This window comes from Homo sapiens, chromosome 8 (assembly GCF_000001405.40).
Source record: "Homo sapiens chromosome 8, GRCh38.p14 Primary Assembly".
Lineage (NCBI taxonomy): Eukaryota > Metazoa > Chordata > Mammalia > Primates > Hominidae > Homo > Homo sapiens.
The window spans coordinates 3,109,461-3,132,345 of NC_000008.11; the positions used below are offsets into that span (position 1 = coordinate 3,109,461).

The following is a 22,885-nucleotide window of genomic DNA, read 5'->3' on the forward strand; positions in this document are numbered from 1 at the left end:
GTCGTTGTCATCTTAGATGTCTGATTTACTTCCACAACCTCAAAGCCAGTCTCCTTTCTTGCCCTCTGCTACTTTATTTCCCACAAAATGAGCCCGTCATTCTGCAGCCCATATCTGGCCTTGGAGCTCTGCCTGTCAGAGCCCAGGTGCATCCTCACTGCCCCAAGAACAAAGCCCAAGGCCTTCACATGCATTTCCAGGTCCTGCCTTACTTGCCCTGGCTGCTGGCTTCTGCTCCTGCTCCCCCTGTGGGCTCCAACAAGAGTGCAGCCACACCACACACAACACGCACACACACACACAACATACACAACACACACACAGACACCACACACACAAACACACACGTAAGCCACACAGACATACACAAGCCACACACACCACACAGACACACCCACAGAGACACACATCACACACCCATACCCAACCCAACCCACACCCACAAACACACATCCAATACATACACACACAGATGCAGACACACAGACATAATTCTGCCTATTTCTACCATGTAGCAAAACCCACATGTACTATGTGAAATTGATTCCCTATATCTCTGGATTTCGTTGGTGAATTTCTTCTCTAGTATCTAAGAAGTTTATTCTAAATATGTGCCTTGTATATAAGTGGCATATGTATGCTAAGTCAGAATTGTTGATCACAATTACAGATATTTTGACTTGAGAGGTTCTCATACCAAACAGCAATGTAATCGTTGACAGCTTCCGTCTGTAACAGGGTGAAGTTGATGTAAACTCCGTGCCCTGGAGGCACCGTGATGAGCCAAATGCAGTCCTTCAGGATCGGATACTCATCAGGAAAGCCAGGGGAGTAGATGGTGCCGTTCTGAGAAGTTACGTTGTACCCACAAGGGGCTGCAAAGGAAACCAAGAAAAAACAAGCGCCATACAGCTGATTTTAGAGAGTAGAAAGCTAAATATTTGACTCCAAAGTACCTTAGCCAACATTTTTCCTGATGGGAAATAGGTGTGAAATATTTCTGAATCACCATTTTGTCAAAATTACTGCCCTAAAATCTGAAGACCTTAGAAGAATTATACGTCTAAGCTAAATTATCTCAGTTTTATTTAATATATTCTCCATATCTTCAAAATCCCTTTAGGATAAATTTATTCTTCTATGCCTCAAATAAAATCCTTAGTTAACACTTGTGACCTGCTGATAACCCATCTGAGTGTCCAGCACAATGAATTATGGGGAAAGTATTCATAAATATGTAACTGCTTTTTCTAACTCACACTGCTAGACCCTATTTATAAGCCATCTGAAAGAGTGTCATCTAAGTCTACTTGCCTTAAAACAAAGACATTATCAATTCTTTACAGATCTATACCTGAAGAAGTAAGATAATGCAATGTAAGATTATGTAAGTGGTGTTTTGCGGAAGCATTTCCAGTTTTTACTAGTGTTCAATGACTTGAAGAACTAAAACAATACCCAATTTATTTTCATTTTTGTTAAGAAATTTATATTTATTATTTTAATGGCAATTATTTTATTTATGGAAAATGACATGTCCAAACACTAATGGAATAACCTGAAATATAGTCTTTAATTTAAATATTCATATAGTGCATCAAAGTCATAAAACTTTGAACTCTGAAATCAAACCAACAGCTAAGAGGTGTGAGATGAGTGTTCACAACTCTCTTGAACCTCGAAGGGCTGTCAAAGATTTGCCACAAATGGTATAGAATTCAGGTAGAGGAAAAAGGCCCAAATACACAAACAGATAAACAAAAAGAAAAGTTTAGTAACAAATGAGAATATACCATGAGGCGGGATATGATACACTGTTGAACTGCACAGATGTGTATTGATTTGAAAAGAACATTGGATTGAACCTGGCTGGAGATTTGGATCTTTTCATCAGAAGAAGGGACTGTATGTAGAGACTACTTTAGAAGTTTTACTGCGTAATTATTACTAAGTGAGGTTTGGAGTCAGACAAACCTGGATTTGTAAGCTGGAGAAGCAAATTATCCCTGGGAGCCTCCACTTCTATAAATTCTATGAGGTCAGGGTCTGCGATACTCCTGAAGCTTGTCATCTCTAAAATGGGACCATAGGCTGGGCACGGTGGCTCACTTCTGTAATCCCAGCACTTTGGGAGACTGAGGTGGGTGGATCACCTGAGGTCAGGAGTTTGAGACCAGCCTGACCAACATGGGGAAACCCTAACTCTACTAAAAATACAAAAATCAGCCAGGCGTGGTGGTGCACGCCTGTAATCCCAAGTACTTGGGGGGTTGAGGCAGGAGAATTGCTTCAATCTGGGAGGCAGAGGGTGTAGTAAGCCGAGATTGTGCCATTGCACTCCAGCATGGGTGACAGAGTCTCTGTCTCTAAAAATAATAATAATAATAATGGGACCATAAACCATGCTGTCCCCATAACAAGCTACTTTTGTCTCCTGTTGGCAGTGCACTTTTCCTCCCCTCCAGACGTCGAGGGAGTGTTCACATGCTTTTCTTCTATTTTTCTGCCAAGGCAAACTTGTCTCTTCCTTTAAAACTCAACTCCTTGTCACCGCTTCCTTAAGGTCTTTCCTGCTTGCTCCGGCTCTAGAGGTCCAGGCTCTGCTCACAGAGCACACGGCTCCCACGAGACTGTCAGCCTCTAGCAGACAGGGTCTGCATCTCCTCCCACCCCAGCTGCTACCTCCTTTCAAGAGTCCCTACTGTCTAGCTCAGGTCATGATAAACAAATTGATAAATTGGTGAATTAGAGAATAACCAGAGAGCACTTTAAGAGTGAACTCATGAAACCAATTAGGCTGAAACCCTTTACAGGTGACTCCGTGCTAGTAATTTAGTGTGGACTTACAATGCTAAGGTTTCCCTTTTGCATTTCTGCTTTTCTAGTTGAATCTTGTAGTTACATAACCACATTATATATAGTAGCACCCTTCCTGTTGGGAAAACAAAACAAAAAGCCATCGTTCCCACCTCTTAAAGGGCAAAAGAAATGAGGTGGTGATTTTCTTGGTAGAACACATTCCTGATTCCAGTATTATTTATGCCACTGAATACCTCTATAACATTGAGCAAGTCAGTGATTCTTGCCATGATTTATCTATCAAATTCAAATAACAAATCTTTTCACTCACTCACTCAACAAGTATCTACTGAGAGTGGGTTATGTACCAGTAAGGGTGCCTGGGATGGAGATGCCATAGTGAACCGTAGAGACCCTGTTGCTGCCTTTGTAAAAAGCTTATTGAATAGTGATGAAGAGAGATATTAAGCAAACACTACAGAAGTTTAAAATTCAACGGGTGCAAGTGCTGTGAAGGAAAATAACAGACGCTCATCATCACATAAGATAACAATATTCTATCCATAAGCACACAAAATTCTCTCAAAGCAAAATCCTGTTGCCCTCCCACTGGGTAGTCCAGAGATAGAAAAAAAGAGGACCCTAAGAATCTGGAGTCAAAATTTCCTCTCTCATTTCCCCTGGCCTGATCTTTATCTACTTCCAGACCGTCTTTATCCTCGCTGCAGTGGCATCAAAGGCACGTTTGCATTTCCCCAAGTGGTGGCGTCTCACTGAGCTCCGCAGAGACGGGGGCCTGTGATCTGCCACTGCAGGAAGTGTGCGTGTCTCGGCAGGAAGCGTATCCCCCCTGCCTTCCTTTCCCTGAAGGCGGGGTTCAAAGTGGAGTCTGGACTGAGATCAAAGAGGAAGCTCTGCGTGGAGCACAGCAGGTACCTCCCAGCTCCTCACCTGTCTGCCTGGGAGACACTGGTCCAAGCCGGACCAGGAAGACAGACAGCTGACCATGGCATCAGCAACTGAAAGGGATAGAGAGGCTACACTCCCTCCACTCTCAGGAGCCATGGAGTAAAGAGACGCGCAGGCATTTCCGTGCTCATGAATACCCGGATGTTCACGTGGGAGAGAGCGTTGCTGGGCAAGACAGTGAAGGAGGGAATTGCTCAAGCTATTTGCTCATGTATTTTTCCAAGAATAAGCACATAAAGATAAGAAAGCTACATATTTTGATCCGATTCTAGAGCTAGCAGTCGCTGTGTTGAAAGTGATGGCGGTGATGTCTAACTTGAATGTCACGCCCAATGGGAAACATGCCCAGGTACCCTGGCGCCACTGGCTTCCCCCACAACGCCACTCTCTATCATTGCCTCAAATACCACGGAGGCTTCCCTTCGTTCATTGACATCCCTGAGAAGTGGGAAGGGGGTACTTTTGGTGATTCACACACACAAAAGTTATGGGTATATGTGACTGACTCCTGCTCAGGTGTGAAGCCACAGCTCGAAGATACCAGAAAATCAACTGGGGGGTTGGCACACCTTGGCACAGGAGGGCGGAGGTACAAGGAAACATCTCTTTATTGTGCTACCTTTTCCTCTCTTTATGCAATGTGACTTTCTGTGAAGAGAGATGGATAGGCATATTAAGTGATATTACATCAAATTAAAATTAAAACAGGCTGGCTGTTATGGCTCATAGCTGTAATTCCAGCACTTTGGTAGGCTTAGGGAGGAGGATCATTTGACCCCAGGAGTTCGAGACTAGTCTGGGCAATACAGGGAGATCCCATCTATTAAAACAAACAAACAAACAAACAAACAAACAAAAAACATTAATTATCCATGCATGCGAGCACATGCCTGTGGTCCTAGCCACTTGGGAGGCTGAAGTAGGAGGATTGCTTGAGCCTGGCAGGTCAAGGCTACAGTGAGCAGTGATTGCACCACTGCACTCCAGCCTGGGCAACAGCCTGAGACTCCATCTCAAATAAATAAATAAAGTGAAAACAAAATAATTTAAATTTTAAAACCTTGAACGTTTGCTAAGAGACTTATCATTTATAGATGGTTTTCTCTAGTATTATGTTAAGTTTTTTGCCTAAACAAGAATATGAAAGAAATTCCATATTAAAAAGCTAATAAATACACTTGGCATAAATATGAATATAAAAATATAATAAATATGTTATAATATATATATTAATATAAAAATATCTTGACTCTCAATATATCGAAGATACTGAAAGTTTAATCTCCCCTAGTGTGTAGAGAACCAGAGTTATTCCTGCCATCATTTTTCTTCCTTCTGTTACTCTGGTTTCCTTAGAAGCATTTTCAGAGAAGAATCCAGAGCGCACTCTGTCTTGGAAATTGCCGGTTGGTAATGGAGATTTTAAAGACTGTATTTGTGAATGCAGGTAAGAAAAATAAGGAGACAGAGTTGCATTCTTTATAGTTATTTTTATTCTCTATTATTGGGAAAGATTATTTTCTGTATTTACCAATCAGCTTGGTAAACCTTAAATTTAAAAAATATGTATGTAATAATACATTGTTTAGCTGCTTGCATTTCTCATGTCAATTTTGCAATAAAATTGTTTTCTGCTTACAAAATCTGTCAAATTCAAAGAAGCTGTTAACATACCTATCACAACATATTATTTACACTAATAATTATCTCTGTCTGTGCAATTCCCCACTCTACACATACTAATGCATTTAAGTCAAGTTTATTATGATAGTGTTTAAGATTTATTTAATGCCTAAAATTATATTTTTATGCATAAACATTTCAGTGTTAAATGATTAATTAGGTCAGCAAAATATTTTAAATTGTTGAACTATATTTGTAAGTGTGAATGCATATTTAATTAGAAAATTACATTTAATAAGTTAATAAACCAAATTCTACTTAATCATATTTTAACAATTACAATCCCCCCCCCCCCTTTTTTTTTTTTGAGATGGAGTTTTGCTCTTGTCACCCAGGCTGGAGTGCAATGGCGCTATCTTGGCTCACTGCAACCTCCGCCTTCTGCGTTCAAGTGATTCTCCTGCCTCAGCCTCCCAGGTAGCTGGGATTACAGGTGCCTGCCACCACGCCTGGCTAAGTTTTGTATTTTTAGTAGAGTTGGGGTTTTGCCATGTTGGCCAGGCTTGTCTCAAACTCCTGACCTCAGGTGATCCACCCACCTCGGTCTCCCAAAGTGTTGGGATTACAGGCGTGAGCCACTGTGCCCGGCCTAAAACCCCCACCTTTTTTTAATTTTTTAACTGAGACTTCTGTGTAATTATGTTACTGACAGAAAAATAATGTCTTCAATTTCTCAGATAACTTTCAGAGACATATTCTTTCATTTGTTTACTTTCATAGATATCATAATTTCAGATCACAGTTTTTCAGATAAATTTATACTATATTAATTTCATAAAGTAGATTCTTATGCAGCTTAACATGTATTTTCAGTATATAAATACAAATTGATTTCATATATACTTGTGAAGACTGATGCCTTGGGATTTAGAATTATTTTATTAATTATCTAAACTGGCCAATTTTTAATAAAGACATCGAGAAGTTGTTTAAAGTATCTGTGTTTTTTCTGAAGTTCTTTTCAAGTCTACAGGGCTGGACCTTTGAAGATGGTTTTTCAGTACACTTGACCTATATAGCAATCACTGACCTGAAATGATAAACCACTGTCAATTAATAAAATACATGTTACATGAAGATACTGGGTTGTCAGCAGTGTTTACCGCTGTCTCTGGGAAAGACTGAAGTGCCATATAACTGTAACTAATAGGCGTTTGAACAGCCTCCGCATTCTTATGAAGCAACGACTTTTTTAAGAAATATAAACTTTCACAAGTAAAGCACCTTTTGCGTTAAATAACACCTTTTTTAATATGAAAAGGATATTAAACACACATTGGATGGTTCTTAGAAAATCCTTTATATAGGTCCTCTAATTGTTTTCAATATTTATGATAAACTTTTACATGAATCGTGCGTTTCGGTTTCTTTATTAGGTTTACGAGTACTGGTAAAAATAGAAATATAATAGTAAAAATGTTTGTTTAGTAAAGAACTTGGCATGGATCAGAGAGATATGTGGCATCCTCCTGGACTCTGCCACATGTGTCTTTTCCCTGGAATATATTGACATATCCCCTCCCTGTTAAAACCATAATGACAAGCATGATAGTTTTAGAGATGTCTCTGAGTTCTTCTAATGGAGAATGAAGCCTCAGGCTGGTTTTGGGAGTCTGAAGGGGTTTAGGCTTTAAATTCATGCAGAGTTTAGCTAATTCTAGATGGTGTTATATACCATGTTAGAATTAGGAAAGGTGGCAGGCATCACTTTAAATTCTATCAAAAAAGGTAGATTTTGTTATTTTCACACTGACAAAATAATTCGAAGCCAGAGCAGTTATTTCCATATTGAAAAACAAAGCTTGAGAAAGCAATAAAATCAAATTAAATATTTAATTGTAGTTTTTTTTAAATATCAAGCCAGAGTCTACCATTTACATATGAATTCAAAGTCTTCACACCAAACTTGCAAATAAGAAGAGGTTTCAATCCTGATAATTTCAAAAGAATTTATACATATATATGAGTTTCTAGAACGGAAAGTAGACTTAAAGATTTAAAAAATGTTTTAATGAAAAACAGCCCAGATAGGTTACTGCTATCCTTATTTTATAAAATTAATTTTAAGTGCTATTTTATATGTAATTAAATAAATATTAGATTAAGATAAAATACTTTTAAAATGTGGCTAAAGAATTGTTTGTAGTTATTTTTTATTTTATTTATTTATTTATTTTGAGACAGAGTCTCACTCTCTCGCCCAGGCTGGAGGGCAGTGGCACGATCTCAGGGCACTGCAACCTCAGCCTCCTGGGTTCCCGCCATTCTCCCACCTCAGCCTCTGGAGTAGCTGGGACTACAGGTGCCCACCACCACGCCCAGCTAATTTTTTTGTATTTTTAGTAGAGACGGTGTTTCACCGTGTTAGCCAGGATGGTCTTGATCTCCTGATCTTGTGATCCGCCCACCTCAGCCTCCCAAAGTGTGTTTGTAGTTATTTTTATAATAATACAGAATAGGTAAATACAGATAAAAACTGTGATTTTAAAAGCCTACTGATATGCTTCTTTTACTTCTTCAGTAGAAATTAAAGCACAGCCAGATGTCTTCCCCTTTTCCCCACAGGATACAAGTGCTTAGCATTTCAAAGGTCCACGGAGTTGGTAATTTCATTATTTTTTCATTCAAAGGTCCTGTATGTATAGTGTGAGAATATCGGGTTTACAGTAAATTTTCTATTGCATATGCATTCTTCCTACACATAGTATGGATCTATTTATTTTAATTAGATATTGAAAAAATGTCAAAGTCATCATAAAAATGAGGCAGTCACACAGAAGCATTAAAGTAAGGATTCCTGCTCAGAAAAAGGACGTCTAAAGAGACCAGGTCCTCTGTTGCACCATCAAACGAGAACTTGCCTCCAGCCTCTCCGTAGAGCCCCTCTTGCACTATTAAACCACTCTACTATTTTCTCCTATGGCTACCTGTACACTGCGCTCTTTCTTACACTGTTTCTTCTACCTGGAGTGTTCCACCTCCGAGTAGCAAAATGCTATGTACCTTTCAAGGCCCACTACAAAAATGAGCTCATTTTTCTGAAATGCAAAATCAATATGAAATTATTATAAAAGCTAAACAAAAAGAAACACCAAGGATCAAATTAATAAGTACCCTTTTTCCCTCTGGTCCTACAATCTGATATAACCACTGTAAAGCTGAACGCTGCTGACTTCGCGGAGATTTCCCTGATGGCTTCCCAAGCCTGTGCCATCTCCTTCCCTGCAGCTCAGTATACCATTCCTCTTGTGTTTACTATTTTGCCATCCTTATAATTTCCTTGGCAACAAGGATTGTTTCTTTACTTCTAACTTAACAGCATGCGACATATTCCTTAAATACTAAGTGGAGTGAGTAAAACATAATAGATTCTCAACGAATATTTATTGAATACATTAATAAATTACTGGATATGTTCATTTAATATTTAATGTGCTATTATGCCCATGAAACATTAAATCGCCCCCATGCAAAGTGATGAACTTACCATCACATCTTGGAAAAGGGTAGTTCCAGTTTCTGTTGATCCCATGCTGACAAGTGAGGACAGGATGGCCTATTAGAATGTACCCAGGATAACACTCGAAAGATACTGATTGCCCCACGCTGTAATCCGAGTTGATCATGTACCCATTCTGAAATGGGGGTGGATCTGGACAGTTCTGTAATTCATAGGCTGAAAGAAACAAACAGACAAAATAAAGCTTATATTTGTGAGGTTAAATTACTTCGGAATTTGCAGGAGTGTCATCACATGTGACTGCTTGAGATGAAGTTGTTGGATAAGTTTAATAAGGTATATTTTCTAAGTAGTCAGTTGCCATCCAGACCAATATAATTATTATTAGTAGTAGTAGAATCATAACCATATGCATTTAATAAATAGTGTGTACTTTAAAAGGAAAGTAGCACATACCAAAAGTAAATTTTATAATGCTTACCTTGGAAAAAAGGCATATGATGTAAATTATTTAAGAAAGTAATACAGGCTGGGAGCGGTGGCTCACGCCTGTAATCCCAGCACTCTGGGAGGCCGAGGCGGGAGGATCACGAGGTCAGGAGATCAAGACCATCCTGGCTAACACAGTAAAATCCTGTCTCTACTAAAAATACAAAAAGTTAGCCTGGCGTGGTGGCGGGCGCCTGTAGTCCCAGCTACTCAGGAGGCTGAGGCGGGAGAATGGCGTGAACCTGGGAGGTGAAGTTTGCAGTGAGCCGAGATCTTGCCACTGCGCTCCAGCCCGGGCGACAGAGCAAGACTCTGTCCCCCGCCCCAAAAAAAAGGAAATGCAAGTAATAATAAAAGGAGCCTACAAAAAATGTTGGGTGAACATATACCTAATAATTCCCTTTTATTTTAAATAGGAAATATACTACCAGTCTGAGTACTCCTAACTGGAAAATATGTCGTTATTTGGTTTAACTATACAAATATAACAGGAAAATCCATTGCAGTTTTTTTAGTCTTTTTCTAAAAAAAAAAAAAAAAAAAAAAAAAAAACACTGTATAATCCCTAAGCTGACAACTACTATCAGTACAATTTTTTATAACATGATTTATTGTGCTTTATCATTCAGTCTTTATGTTCCCTAGAATAAACTCCAGGTAAGACAAGAGATAATAAATGTTTGCAGTCTGTGTGGTTTAAACATTTACTCATTAATGAGTAAGAATTAACTAATCCATAAATCAGGTATCATCTGATACTGTAATTTTAAAGCTAAATGAGCCTCTCGCCCACTCTGGGAAGAGGGCGTGAGTACTCAATGCAGTAGAAGCCCTCTCTAGCATCTTTGAATATTTAGGCACACCTTTGTCCATAAAGGCAGTTCCCATGAGACTGGGAACCTGCTCCTAATGCAGCAGCAAAGCCACACCATGCAGCACCAGTTCTGGGGGAACCTCCGCCCTGCCATGTAATTCTGCTGAAACCAACCCTCAGCGCCAGGCAACACAATGAGTTTCAAAATAGCATGAGGTCACCGGTCACTGTCCTCACAATCAACTGAAAATCAAGTCATAAAATAAAGTCTCCGAGCTTCTGCAGAGGGGCCTTTTCTGTGGAGAATGAAGTGAAATGGAAATTTCAATTTTATGTGTAAATTCCTTAACCATTGACAATATTGGAGTGAGCCTGTAGTTTGGAAACTTGTAAACAAATGCTGGAAAAGGAAACAGTATATTATTATGACAGGTGTTTCCCAGAATTCTAGACTTTTTTGTTTCTGTGTTCAGGACCTGAGAAAAAGAGAGGTGGGCCAGAAAGAAGATAGGACAGGGCAGAGGGGCCAGCAGACAGGGGATGGGAACACAAAGAGCTTGATGCGGGATTACTCAGGGATTAGATTTAAGAGGCAGCTAAGGCTCAGAATATGAATCAGTCTGTGTTTTATATTAAAGCAATTGGACATCAACATAAAGATAATGTGAGAACATATGGAAGACAGCAACCAGGCAACGCAATATGTGGGCCTACAGCGTGGCCTTGGCGTTCACAAGATTAATGTAAGTGCTGTTTGGAGTTTGTCTTCATTAACATTTGCCAAATGTTAAGCATTCCATAGAGCCATGAGGTTTCGTTATTATCCATAGCTTTCTCCTATTTAATAAACTAATGAAATGGCATTGTTGCCTCTTTAAAATGACAATGTGCAGGCTGGGCTCGGTGGCTCATGCTTGTAATCCCAGCATTTTGGGAGGCCGAAGCGGGTGGATCACAAGGTCAAGAGATTGAGACCAGCCTGAACAACATGGTGAAACCCTGTCTCTACTAAAAATACAAAAATTAGCCAGGGGGGGTGACCGGCACCTGTAATCCCAGCTACTTGGGAGGCTGAGGCAGAAGAATCGCTTAAACCCAGGAGCAGAAGGTTGCAGTGAGCCGAGATCACGCCACTGCACTCCAGCCTGGCGACACAGTGAGACTCCATCACAAATAAATAAATAACAATATGCAATGCTAGTGAGTCATTTCAGTAACTCAATGATGGCAACATTATTTGCCACAACTGTTTGGGAAAGTCATTAGAATAGGGCCATAAAAAATCAGTTGTAATATTAAACCTAGTAATACATTTACAGAAATCTCTATTATGAGCATAATTTCTAAGCAGAAAAAGGTGAATGTTTAAAGATGTTCATTGCAGCATTATTTACACTACAGAAATCCAAACAACAACAAAAAAAAAATAGGGAGAGACTCATAAATGCCAGTGATGAAATGTCATATCTTTCAATAGTCACAGATTGTATAGATTTCTGTGTATTTATTTATATTTTCAGTATTGTAAGCATACTATGCAGTTGACAACAGCTTCCTGTGGTTAAGCCCTGACTATAGTCAGCAGGTTAAAAAAAATCCTTTATTTAACCTTTCAGCATCCCTTGGTTTTAATTATTTTCATTTATGCAATGATATGTCTCTGAACAAGAGTCAGAGACGCAGCAGAAAAATGATTGAGAACAAGAAAAATCGAGATCAGAGGACACATAGTGGCAAAAGCATCTTGAGATAATTCCTGGCATTGGCTCCCCCAGGGACGAGAAGTGGGAAGAACACTATGTGAGACAAATTCCTCCCAGAGCGGGAGAGGAGGAAACTTCACCTGGAGGGAAGCGCTGGGCAGCCTCTGAAACCCAGAAACCCACTGGATTATGTCGCTCATTACTAACAGAGCTTTGGGGGCTCCCTAAGAGCTCCAGACATCACCTCTTTTACCTACTATCTAAAGATGTAAAAGGCTGGGAGCAGTGACTCATGCCTGTGGTCCCAGTTACTAGGGAGGCTGGGGCAGGAGGACTGCTTAAGGCCAGGAGTCGAATGCTGCAGTGAGCTATGATCATACCACTGCACTCCAGCCTGGGTGACAGAGCAGGATCCTGTCTCATAAAAAGCAAGCAGACAAACAAACAAAAAACAGATACAAAGGAGTATTGCCTAATTAACAAGATCAGTGTGAATATCAAGTAATTTATATGATAAAACTTAATAAACTGTCATAAGTTCAAATAAAGTTATTACATTTTATTTATAATGCACCTAAATATTATAGAGAATTAGCTGTATTTTAGGTTGGTGAAAATGTAATTGCGGTTTTTGCCATTACTTTCAATGGCAAAAACCTCAATTGCCTTTACACCAACCTAATGTATATCGATAATATGAAATTAGAAACAGTGTTTGAAAATGAGTATTCTGATTAACTCAGTGCTATCTTTTGAGATGTAATCTTTATAACTCAATATTTACAAGCTTTATATACAGAAAATCCAAGATAAATTACTAGTTATAGAATGAATGCTTTTACCCCATAAATGTATACAATTATAATTTGCCAATTAAAAATGTTATTACTTTAAAAATATGTAATTACAAATAAAAAAATGAATGAATGTTCCAGTGCTGCTTTCTGGTAAAGCTACATTATACCATGGAACTACTGCGTTGATTAGAGACACTCTACAAAGATTTACTATAGATCAATAAACCTTATAAGCACAATTGCTATTAATAAAGTTTGCAAAATAAAAAATATTTTTAACTCACAATTTTGTGAAAATGGAATTTGCAGTTGACGTGGTATGGCTGTGTCCCCACCCAAATCTCAACTTGAATTGTATCTCCCAGAATTCCCAAATGTTGTGAATGTGGGAGGGACCCAGGGGAGGTAATTGCATCAGAGGGTCCAATCAATCTCATACTATTCTCGTGATAGTGAATGAGTCTCACGAGAGCTGATGCTTTTATCAGGGGTTTCCACTTTTGCTTCTTTCTCATTTTCTCTTGCTGCCGCCATGTAAGAAGTGCCTTTCACCTCCCACCATGATTCTCAGCTCCCCCGACCCCAGCCATGTGGAACTGTAAGTCCATTTCAACCTCTTTTTCTTCCCAGTCTTGGGTAGGTCTTTATCAGCAGCGTGAAAATGGACTAATATAACAGTCCACCATACAGTAGCTACATTATATACAATAGTGTTTCTCAGTTGTTTTTGTGTCTGATAAGTAGAATATTGGACTGTTGGAATCTTTTACATCATACTTGGCTTCAAGGAAAAACTTCTCCAGGTGTTCGAAGGAAGAATATTCAAACCCCTATGAAACAATTATGTCTTAAAGGACGTAGCTCAAAGGCTACAGTGGCGTGTCCCTCATGATTGATTGTTTTTGTTGTTATCACCTATTTGAAAAACTAGATGCTTAGAAATCTAAGCTGATAAATGTAGGGACAGGGAACATTAAAACAGAAAGCCAGGCCAAATCAGCATCTCTCTCTTTCTCTGACACACACACCCCTCATCTGCATTCCCCCATCGTGTGGCTCCCTGGGCCAACCTGTCAAATGCATAGCAAGGCCACCGCTGCCTCTGCCAGGGACCACTCCAGGCTGAAGTCCACAAAAACAGCCTTTTCTTGAAAGCCACTGCCAAATGGCCTAGAAAACATCCACAGTGCCTGGAATGCCTCCTCCCAATACTGCTATTTGGACCTAAAATTGCTTTAGAGACCCATGCTCACAAAAAAGAATGAATAATTCCACACTGAGTTTCAACTATCAACACATTTCCTTCTTTATTATTCTCTTTTAGAATGAAATCAGCAATTCATTTCTCATTCTTGTTTTGCTTTAAACGTAATAAACTCTCTTGGAAAAATGAGTCCTACTGTACAGCAAATATGAACGCTAATAAAACGTTAAGAAAAAAAAACATGGAAAGCTGATTGCTGGTTTCTAGAGGAGGAGAAGCAAATAAAACTAGATTCAATAGAACCTCATCTTCATTAGAAGATTTCATCCACGAATTAGCAGTGCCTTGGAAGTATACAAGCCTCAATTACCAGAATACAATATTAACAAGTTAATGGTTCATAGGTACTCCTGGTGAACCTTCACTTAAAACAGCGTTTAACAGAGACACACACACATTTACAACACAGGAGTGTTAATAGTATGTAAGGCATTGCATTGCCTTAGTTTGGCTGTGTAGTCTTTCGGGTGACTTAAGAAGTACAATTAAGTTCTTTTTTGGGATAGGTAAAACTAGTGTTGAAGGCTCTAGCGCCCTTCTGCTCATGAAAATAACCTCTATGAAAAACACCGAAATAGGACATTTGAAGTTGTAATTAAAGATTCTAAGCCCAATGGCTGCGGGCTACTCTAATCACTGAAAAAAATTGTTGTTGTTTTTTTTTCTTTTCTCAATGGCAACAAAACAATTATCCTGTGTGCGTGTGGGGAGGGGGGAGCAGATTAGCCCATATGGGCAGTACAGTGGTTTTCATTATTCATTTATTGAGTGAAATAAAGATTATTTATTGACTCTACTCTGTTATAAATGCTAGTTATAAATGGAAACTAGAAATGCGTCTTACTCTGGTGAATTTAGGCAAATTAAAGCATAGATGATTGTATAAAAGAATTGTAAGTTGCATAAATTATTATTAAAAAATAAAAAGTGGATTGAAGTAAAGAAAATATAAAACCTGGTTAAGGTTATGCAGTAGTGGTCAAAATTGTTTTGTTGAAGAAATGACGTTTAAATTAAGATCTAAGTAGGAAAATGGTGCAGATCAGGAAAAGACCAAGAAAGGCAGGCTTTTCAGCCAAAGGAAATAGTATGTGTTCTAAACATAGAAAGAGTTCAGTGTCTGGGATAAGGGGAGAGTTTCAGAAGAGAGATGACCTCTGCAGCCCCTTCTCCTAAAGTGTGTGCCCCTTTTCACACTCTCCTAAAGTGTGTGCCCCTTTTCACACTCTCGCCACCTCCTAAGTGGAGACGAAGTAGTCGTCAAATTGTTCAGACCACAGGACGTTCATTAGAACACATTTTATAAGTGGACACAGACATATTATAAAAACCCAGGACCCATTTTTTCACCTGATAAATCCCATCTGCCAGTCAACATCATAATGATGACAATGATGATTCAAAACCCATGGCTCATTTCAGAATTATCTCAAGAATTTAAAATGCCAATTAGTTTCTTTTTCTATTGTAAACTATACACTAAGTAAGAGTATCACTAAGTAAGAGCATCAGTTACACTATTTTTTGGTCTTTGTTCCAAATGTCTTGTTAAACTGAGTACTTAACTACTTAAATATTAATACCGATATTCCCTCAAACTTTTGATGTATAAAGTCATATTCTCTCTTTTCTCAAATGTCTTTTCCAAACTTGGATTCACTGTCACACTTCACACAATAAGGTATAAAGGACTATATTAGGAGTCTGAATGGAAATAACTAAAAATAAGTCATGAAGATAATTCCTGAGTATGCTGAAGAATTTTGGAAGGATCCTGTTGCATCCTGTTTAGTGTGAGTGTGATGGGTTTCATAGTGCCTGTGCTGGCTTCTTGCAGGTGCCTCTGAAGGACTTGCAATGCATCACAGTGCCAGGCCACACAGGTGTGAGAGGGCGAAGGAGGCGTCAATCTGCTGTCAGAACCCTCATCACGCATGGCCTTCTTGCTCTGTACCCATCATAAAAGCATTCACCCTCATAAATGGGTTGTAAACATATAAAAAGTTTTAATTTAAGAAAGAAAGTCATCAAGTGAGAGAAAAAGAAAAAAAGATCACTTCAGTGGAATTTGATAAAGAAGTTACCTTCTAGGGTAAAGGGTGGTAAAAGCCACGATTATCAAACAAATTCTGATTCAGCTGAAGGTCACAACTTCTGCATCCCCATACTGGGCAATTCCTAAAGACTTCTGAAGGCATTCTCTCTATTAGTTCTATAAGAGTTGTTGTATTATCTGTCATTAAAAAGTTGAATTAAGGCCAGGTGCCGTGGCTCATGCCTGTAATCCCAGCACTTTGGGAGGCCGAGGTGGGCAGATTACCTGAGATCAGGAGTTTGAAACCAGCCTGGCCAACATGGTGAAATCCTATCTCTACTAAAATTCCAAAAATTAGCTGGGCGTGGTAGCAGATGCCTGTAACCCCAGCTACTCGGGAGGCTGAGGCAGGAGAATCACCTCAACCCAGGAGGCAGAGGTTGCAGTGAGCTGAGATCGTGCCACTGCACTCCAGCATGGGTGACAGAGTTAGACTCCACCTCAAAAAAAGAAAAAAGTTGAATTAGAGAATCATCAACACATGAAGAAATCTACCTCGGCAGTACATACATGAGCCTTGAAGTAGTTTTGCAAAATAGGTGAGGCACCCTGGTGTGACCTGAGTTCAGCCTGGTTGTGCCAATACGGGGACTTGAACATTCCACTTAATCCCAGGAGGCTCATTTCTTCATTCATGAAAGGAGACTAAATATACCCATCTATACAAGGGCCACAGAATTAAATGGGATGCTAAAAGAAATGAATCAGTGTTGGCATATATTAGTTCAGTAAAGCTTAGTCTTGATGGAAAGAATTGTCTAGTTTCTTTGATAAAATATTTCTCATTAATCAAGGCAAAGCCCTCGAGCAACTGCTCTGATGGAGACAGACCCAGGAGGAGGCTACTGCTTCTGGTGGTGGGAATTAGGGTGAATCACTCTAAGAAAAGGGCATTGCTACAGAGAATAGGGCTGCAGTTTACATCAAGGTGTACACTGAAGACTTTGAAGCCCCGCTTGAGTCCTCAGCTTCCCTATCAATGAAAAGATCCATCTGGGGTCTCAGTAGCATGTCAGCCATGAATGGTAGTCCACAGAATTTCCCAAGTGCACACATACAGAAGCTCACCAATTTCCCATATCTATCGGCTATTCTAAACTTCTGGGATAGCATATCACTCTTTCTTTATAACCAAGGATATCACCCTGGTTCTCAACTCTAAGACATATTTTCTGCCTAATTATGCTCCATTTGTTCTCTTAGCTCCTAGTCCCAGCACCTGCTTATGAAGCCAACCAAACTGTTGCAAAAGTTGTCAGAGTTTTGGGCCTCGCTGAGACTACAGGCTTATACATCAATGCTTCGGGAGGACCAGCCTGCACATGAAACGTGCTCCCTGCATTGCAAGAGAGGCTTGCAGCAAGTGGAATGTGGAAATCTGAAGGTGCCTTCACCTAGGAGACGGGTCTACTGATGCACGCTGAGAACGTCAGCTTTTGGTTCAGAGGAATGGATCATTTAAAGGAGAAGGTGAGAGTGTTGCTTTTGCTTTCAGAAAACCCATACAAGAAGGAGTAGATGCCTGTGATCTGCAGGGAGAACATCCGTCAACAATGAAGATTCAGGTCCTAGTTTCTAAGAGTCTTGTCCACAAACTAAGGGGAATCTTAGCCTTTTCTGTCTCGTACATGGTTGCCCTAGCGGGGATGGGGATTGCTACAACTCTTTGGGGTCACTGTTGGAAGCACTTTCATGCAAAAGAGGCATCTTTGTAAAGCCTTAGGTTGAAAGCTCAATTCACTCATGCAGACGGGTAAAAACAGAGACTGAGTAAGCACCCTTGCCCTGTTCCCCTAATTACTCAAAGTCGCTCAGAATCCCCCGTTGAAAGGAAAAGGAATGATGCAGTTTTAGAAGCATATCAACTTTATGTACAAATTATGGTTTGTATACAAGCAACAGTTTGCATGCTCACATAATTCAGAATGAATTGTTCAGATGTTCATTGTGCCTGGAGGTGGCTTAATTGCTTGTTCTTCTAAAGGGGAAAAATTGGTATAACAAACTATAGCCTATTTTCTAAGAAAATCATTTCACATAAAATTCAGCAGTTTTATGATTGTGATGAAGAATAAACAGATTTAACACATTCGATTATCTTTAAAAATGGTGTTTGGCACACATAGCAAAAGGAAGAAGAAAAACAGTGGAACTTTGAAAATAAAAGACATTTTTACTTGCTATGCCTAAAGCATTAAAATTATCTTTGAGATTTTGGCATTGAATAAGTTTTCTTTCCCAAAAAAGTTTATGCATTAGAATGCAGCAATATGCTTTATAACACAGAAAAGAAAGAGAGGAAGATACTAAAGAACAAAGGAAGGAAAGGAGGGAGGGAAGGAATGAGAGGGAGGGAGGGAGGAATGAAGGAAGGAAGGAAGGAAGGAAGGAAGGAAGGAAGGGAAGGAAAGAAGGAAGGAAGGAAAGAGGGAGGGAGGGAAGGAAAGAAGGGAGGGAGGGAGGGACTTAACTTCTCCAAATTGCAAAACCTAAAAGAAAAGGAAGTCACTAAAATCTTTAACATGGCAAAATTTTTATGAGTATTATGAAAATCTAAGTATCAATAAGCCCAAGGCAATACCAACAAAAGTAAAATAACACAGAGAATTTTATCTTTTATAAAGGAATCCTTTGTTTAGATCTGAAAAAAATAACTATTATTCACATCAAGTTTTTAAATCATAAGTGCAACGAGACCATGCAGTAATCCCCCTAATGTCTATTTTCCCGCTAATATCTAGTTAGTTGATAAATATCTTCATGCTATTATCAATTTTTCAATTCTTGACTTAGAAATAGAGTGCATGGCTTGATTTTACCAAAGTTCTTAATAAGTCATTTAACTTCAAGACAGCTACGTCTATAGTAACATCTCTGACCTTTACATGGTCATAAATAAATGACAAACTTTAAGAATAAGGTGTACAGCACAGACATCATTGAAAATGACAAGAATTCTCTGTATGATTTATGCATCTTCTTAGGAGTTATTAATTATAAGCTTAGCTTCTAAATCTCAAGTAGAACCTAGGAATGTTTATTTGACTTACATATCAGAGTTAAGTGTCATCTTATCAATTTATCAATTTTATAAAATGGCAAACACTGACAAACTATCTAATTAAGTGTCACCTCTGTCAGATATGATACCCTACAAGAAAATAAAATAGCTCAAATTCATGTTCTCATTTATTTGTATTATTTATTTTTATATCTCAGTGATAGGAAATTAATGGCGTACAATAAAAAACATGTTGTTTCGAGTTTTTGTTTTTTTTTTAATTGAAAGTCCTTTCTTCTCCTTGACATCTGGCTTGGAATGGGGTGTCAAGACATGGGAAAGCAGGACCAATGTTTCCAGATCCTCCTATTGCAAGAGACAAAGGGAAAGCAGATCTAAGGGTATCTCACAAATCCTTTAAAAGCTGCGTGACAAACAATACTAGCATGGAGTTAAGTGTGAAGCAAATAAAACACTTGCTTAGCCAACCAGATGCTTGACCTAGGAGAGGACTTATGCTTTCTAACGCTCAAAGGCCACGGAGTCAACATCAATGAGCAAGACAGTAAGAAACTAGAGGAGGCCCTGAAGTCAGGCCCACTTTGCCAGGGTTCTCTCCTACGTGGGAATGCAGGACAAATATTTCCAGACTCTGCTATTGCAGGAGAAAAAGGGAAAGGGGATTTATGGGTATCTCATAAATTACATAACATGGAATTCTAAATACTGATAATTGATTTTTGTAAATATTAAATATTTTGTGAGTCAACCAAAGCAATTGTCTGACCTGTGCTCTAGATGATTCCTACATGGGCTTTTTGCAGGTTTGCTTGTTTGTTTATTTATAGACCATTATTACAGATTGAAATAATTGGTAGCTTTTGGAACTACATAGACATGGCCTTAATAACCTTACCTGTAAAATATCAAGAGTAAAACACAAAAAACTATGGAGCTGGGCCGGGTTCAGTGGCTCATGCCTGTAATCCCAGCACTTTGGGAGGCCGAGGTGGGTGGATCACTTGAGGTCAGGAGTTCAAGACCAGCCTGCCCAACATGGTGAAACCTTCTCTATACTAAAAGTACAAAAATTAGCCAGGCATGGTGACACACACCTGTAATCCCAGCTACTCAGCAACAAAACCATTTTTTAAAAAAAAACTGTGGAGCTGGGCCGGGCGGGGTGGCTCATGTTTGTAATCCCAGCACTTTGGGAGGCTGAGGCAGGCAGGTCACTTGAGGTCAGGAATTCAAGACCAGCCTGCCCAAGATGGTGAAACCCTGTCTCTACTAAAAATACAAAATTTAGCCGGGCATGTTGACACACACCTGTAATCCCAGCTATTCAGCATGGGAGAATCACCTGAGCCCGGGGGGCGGAGGTTGCAGTGAGCCGAGATCGCGCCACTGCACTCCAGCCTAAATAACAGAGTGAGACTCTGTCCCAAAAAAAAAAGAAAAGAAAAGTTAAATGTTGAATATGGTATTAAGAATATTCAAAATGTGGGAGACTTGCAAGTGCTTGGTGTCAACTGAGATACACCAATTAATTGACAGTTAATGGTTTATGGCATATAATTATGTTCTATTTTTCTTATTGGCTCAGATATTAAGATCATGCTCATTAAAAATGGAAATTACCATGTAATGAGCAAGTTTAACATGATGATCACGGAGGAAGTGTTTGTATTTTAACAGGATGTAGTTCACTAGGAATGGGGCAAGGGAGGGGACAGTTGAGCAGGAAGATGGGAGAGAAGCACAACATTCATCATTCACATTATTCAAATTGTACGTCGTGCATACAGCCAGACGAGGCGATGCAGGTGTGTTGGAGCTGAAAGCCTCCCGCCCCCAATTCCTGGAAGCCTCTTCACTGCTTCCCCTGCTCTACTCTTCCCTCGCTTCCCCCAACCCCCATCCACATACAATTCATTCTCTGCATGTAAGCAACTTCTCATTTGCTTGAGCTTCTTCAGTGACATCACATTGCACCTAGAAAACAACCTGAATGCGTCACAGCCAAATCCCCAGGCCCCCTGACCCGGGGAAGCCCTCTGACCTTCCGCTCCCAGTGCACCAGCCTTGTTCCTTTCTCTTCTCTCAACTCATCGGGCTTCTCTCCACCCAGAACTCTTCCTAGCACGTGCAGCCATGTCTCCTTCCAGTCCTTCAAATCTCAATGCCACCCCAGAGAGTGGCAGACCCCAGGCCCCCGCTCACAACCTAAACATCACCCCAATCATTTCCTCCACAGCAGGCACCACTAACACAGCTTCAGCCTGGGCACGGCTGCAGCCTCTATGGCTGCAACTTCAAATCAATGCCCTAAACATATGTTTTTGCCTCCAGTCTCACTCTATTTGCAACAAGTGTTTCTGTAACAGTCCATATCTACATTGTACCAGATTAGGCTCTTAAAATGTGTCTAAGGTCATTGTCATTCTCACTTTAAAATCCGCGATAGTTTCTTACGGTCCTCCAGCGTTCATAACTGTTTTAATCTGAACTACTTTGGCATTCTGGGAAGTCTAATAAGTTTCTCAAACTAATGTCTTACTGTATAAAATAAAATACATAAGATTACAAAGGAAACCAGCCATTTTAAAATATTCCTACAAAAGTGCGATAAAGCAAAATTTGTGGCTTAACATTATGTATGTTATTTCACTAAACAACACATGGCCAAGTCTAATAACTGAGGCAACTTCAAACCATGGTGTAGTAACATTTTGAAATATCTGCACATGTATACATATGTAACTAACCTACACAATGTGCACATGTACCCTAAAACTTAAAGTATAATAATAAAAGAAAAAAAAGAAAAAATAAATAAATAAAATAAAATAAAAAAAGAAATATCTGCACTAAATGAAACAAAGCAATGGATTATCTATGATTTGGTGACAAAGTCACAGGTTATGCTAATACTAATTTTTTTTTTTTTTTTTTGACATGGAGTCTCACTCTATTGCTCAGGCTAAAGTGCAGTGGCGTGATCTCTTCTCACTGCAACATCCATCTCCTGGGTTCAAGCAATTCTCCTGCCTCAGTCTCTTGAGTAGCTGGGATTAAAGTTGCCTGCCACCATGCCCAGCTACTTTTTGTATTTTAAGTAGAGACGGGGTTTTGCCATGTTGGTCAGGCTGGTCTTGAACTCCTGACCTCAGGTGATCCACCCGCCTCGGCCTCCCAAAATGTTGGGATTACAAGCATGAGCCACTGTGCCCAGCCTGCTAATACTATTTTAATATTATTGCCTGCCTTTAAAATGTAAGGAAATGCTAAATATTAATTAAAGCTTAAGGGGAAAAATACATAATATTGTTATGTATATATTTACCATCTGAGTAATAGATTCCTTGAATTCTATCCTCAAGGCCCCAGAACTATTGGTGTAGAGAACTAAATTCATGGTCTTAACAGGGGATGCAAATTCCTTCACAATCCAATACCATCACTCCACTGGCTCATGTCCAAACTCATCCTTCACCTTTGGTAGCCATAATGCCACCTCTAGTGTAAGCCAGGGTTCACACGTGGCCTCCAGGTTCTGCTCACGTGGAACTTTCTCAGGGAAAGCCTGCTCAGTGTGCCTGCTCTGCGAGGCCACCCAGTGGGTTTTACCCTCAGACCTCAGCAGATATCTCAGTCACAGAGAGGATCATGTTGGATTTTAATTTTGTAATTGAAAATCTAGTTTTCTATTAAATTATGACATTATTTTACAAAACACCCATGTATCTTTTTTTTTTTTAATTCCTAGCTCTTGGCACAGAAATTACATTCTCATGCTAGCCTAATACAT

The 22,885-nt window shown here is 39.5% G+C and overlaps 1 protein-coding gene across 5 annotated transcripts in view; it reads right to left on the reverse strand.

Moving 5' to 3' along the window:
* The window catches only part of CSMD1 (CUB and Sushi multiple domains 1), a 2,059,554-nt gene that overhangs the window by 174,100 nt on the left and 1,862,569 nt on the right, over window positions 1–22,885 (reverse strand). For all 5 annotated transcript variants that reach the window (XM_011534752.3, NM_033225.6, XM_011534753.4 and 2 more), the window contains 2 exons: window positions 8,939–9,127; window positions 698–875 (listed from right to left, as the gene is read on the reverse strand). In XM_011534752.3, coding sequence (XP_011533054.1) covers window positions 698–875; window positions 8,939–9,127 — 367 coding nt within the window. The remainder of the gene's footprint in view (window positions 1–697; window positions 876–8,938; window positions 9,128–22,885) is intronic.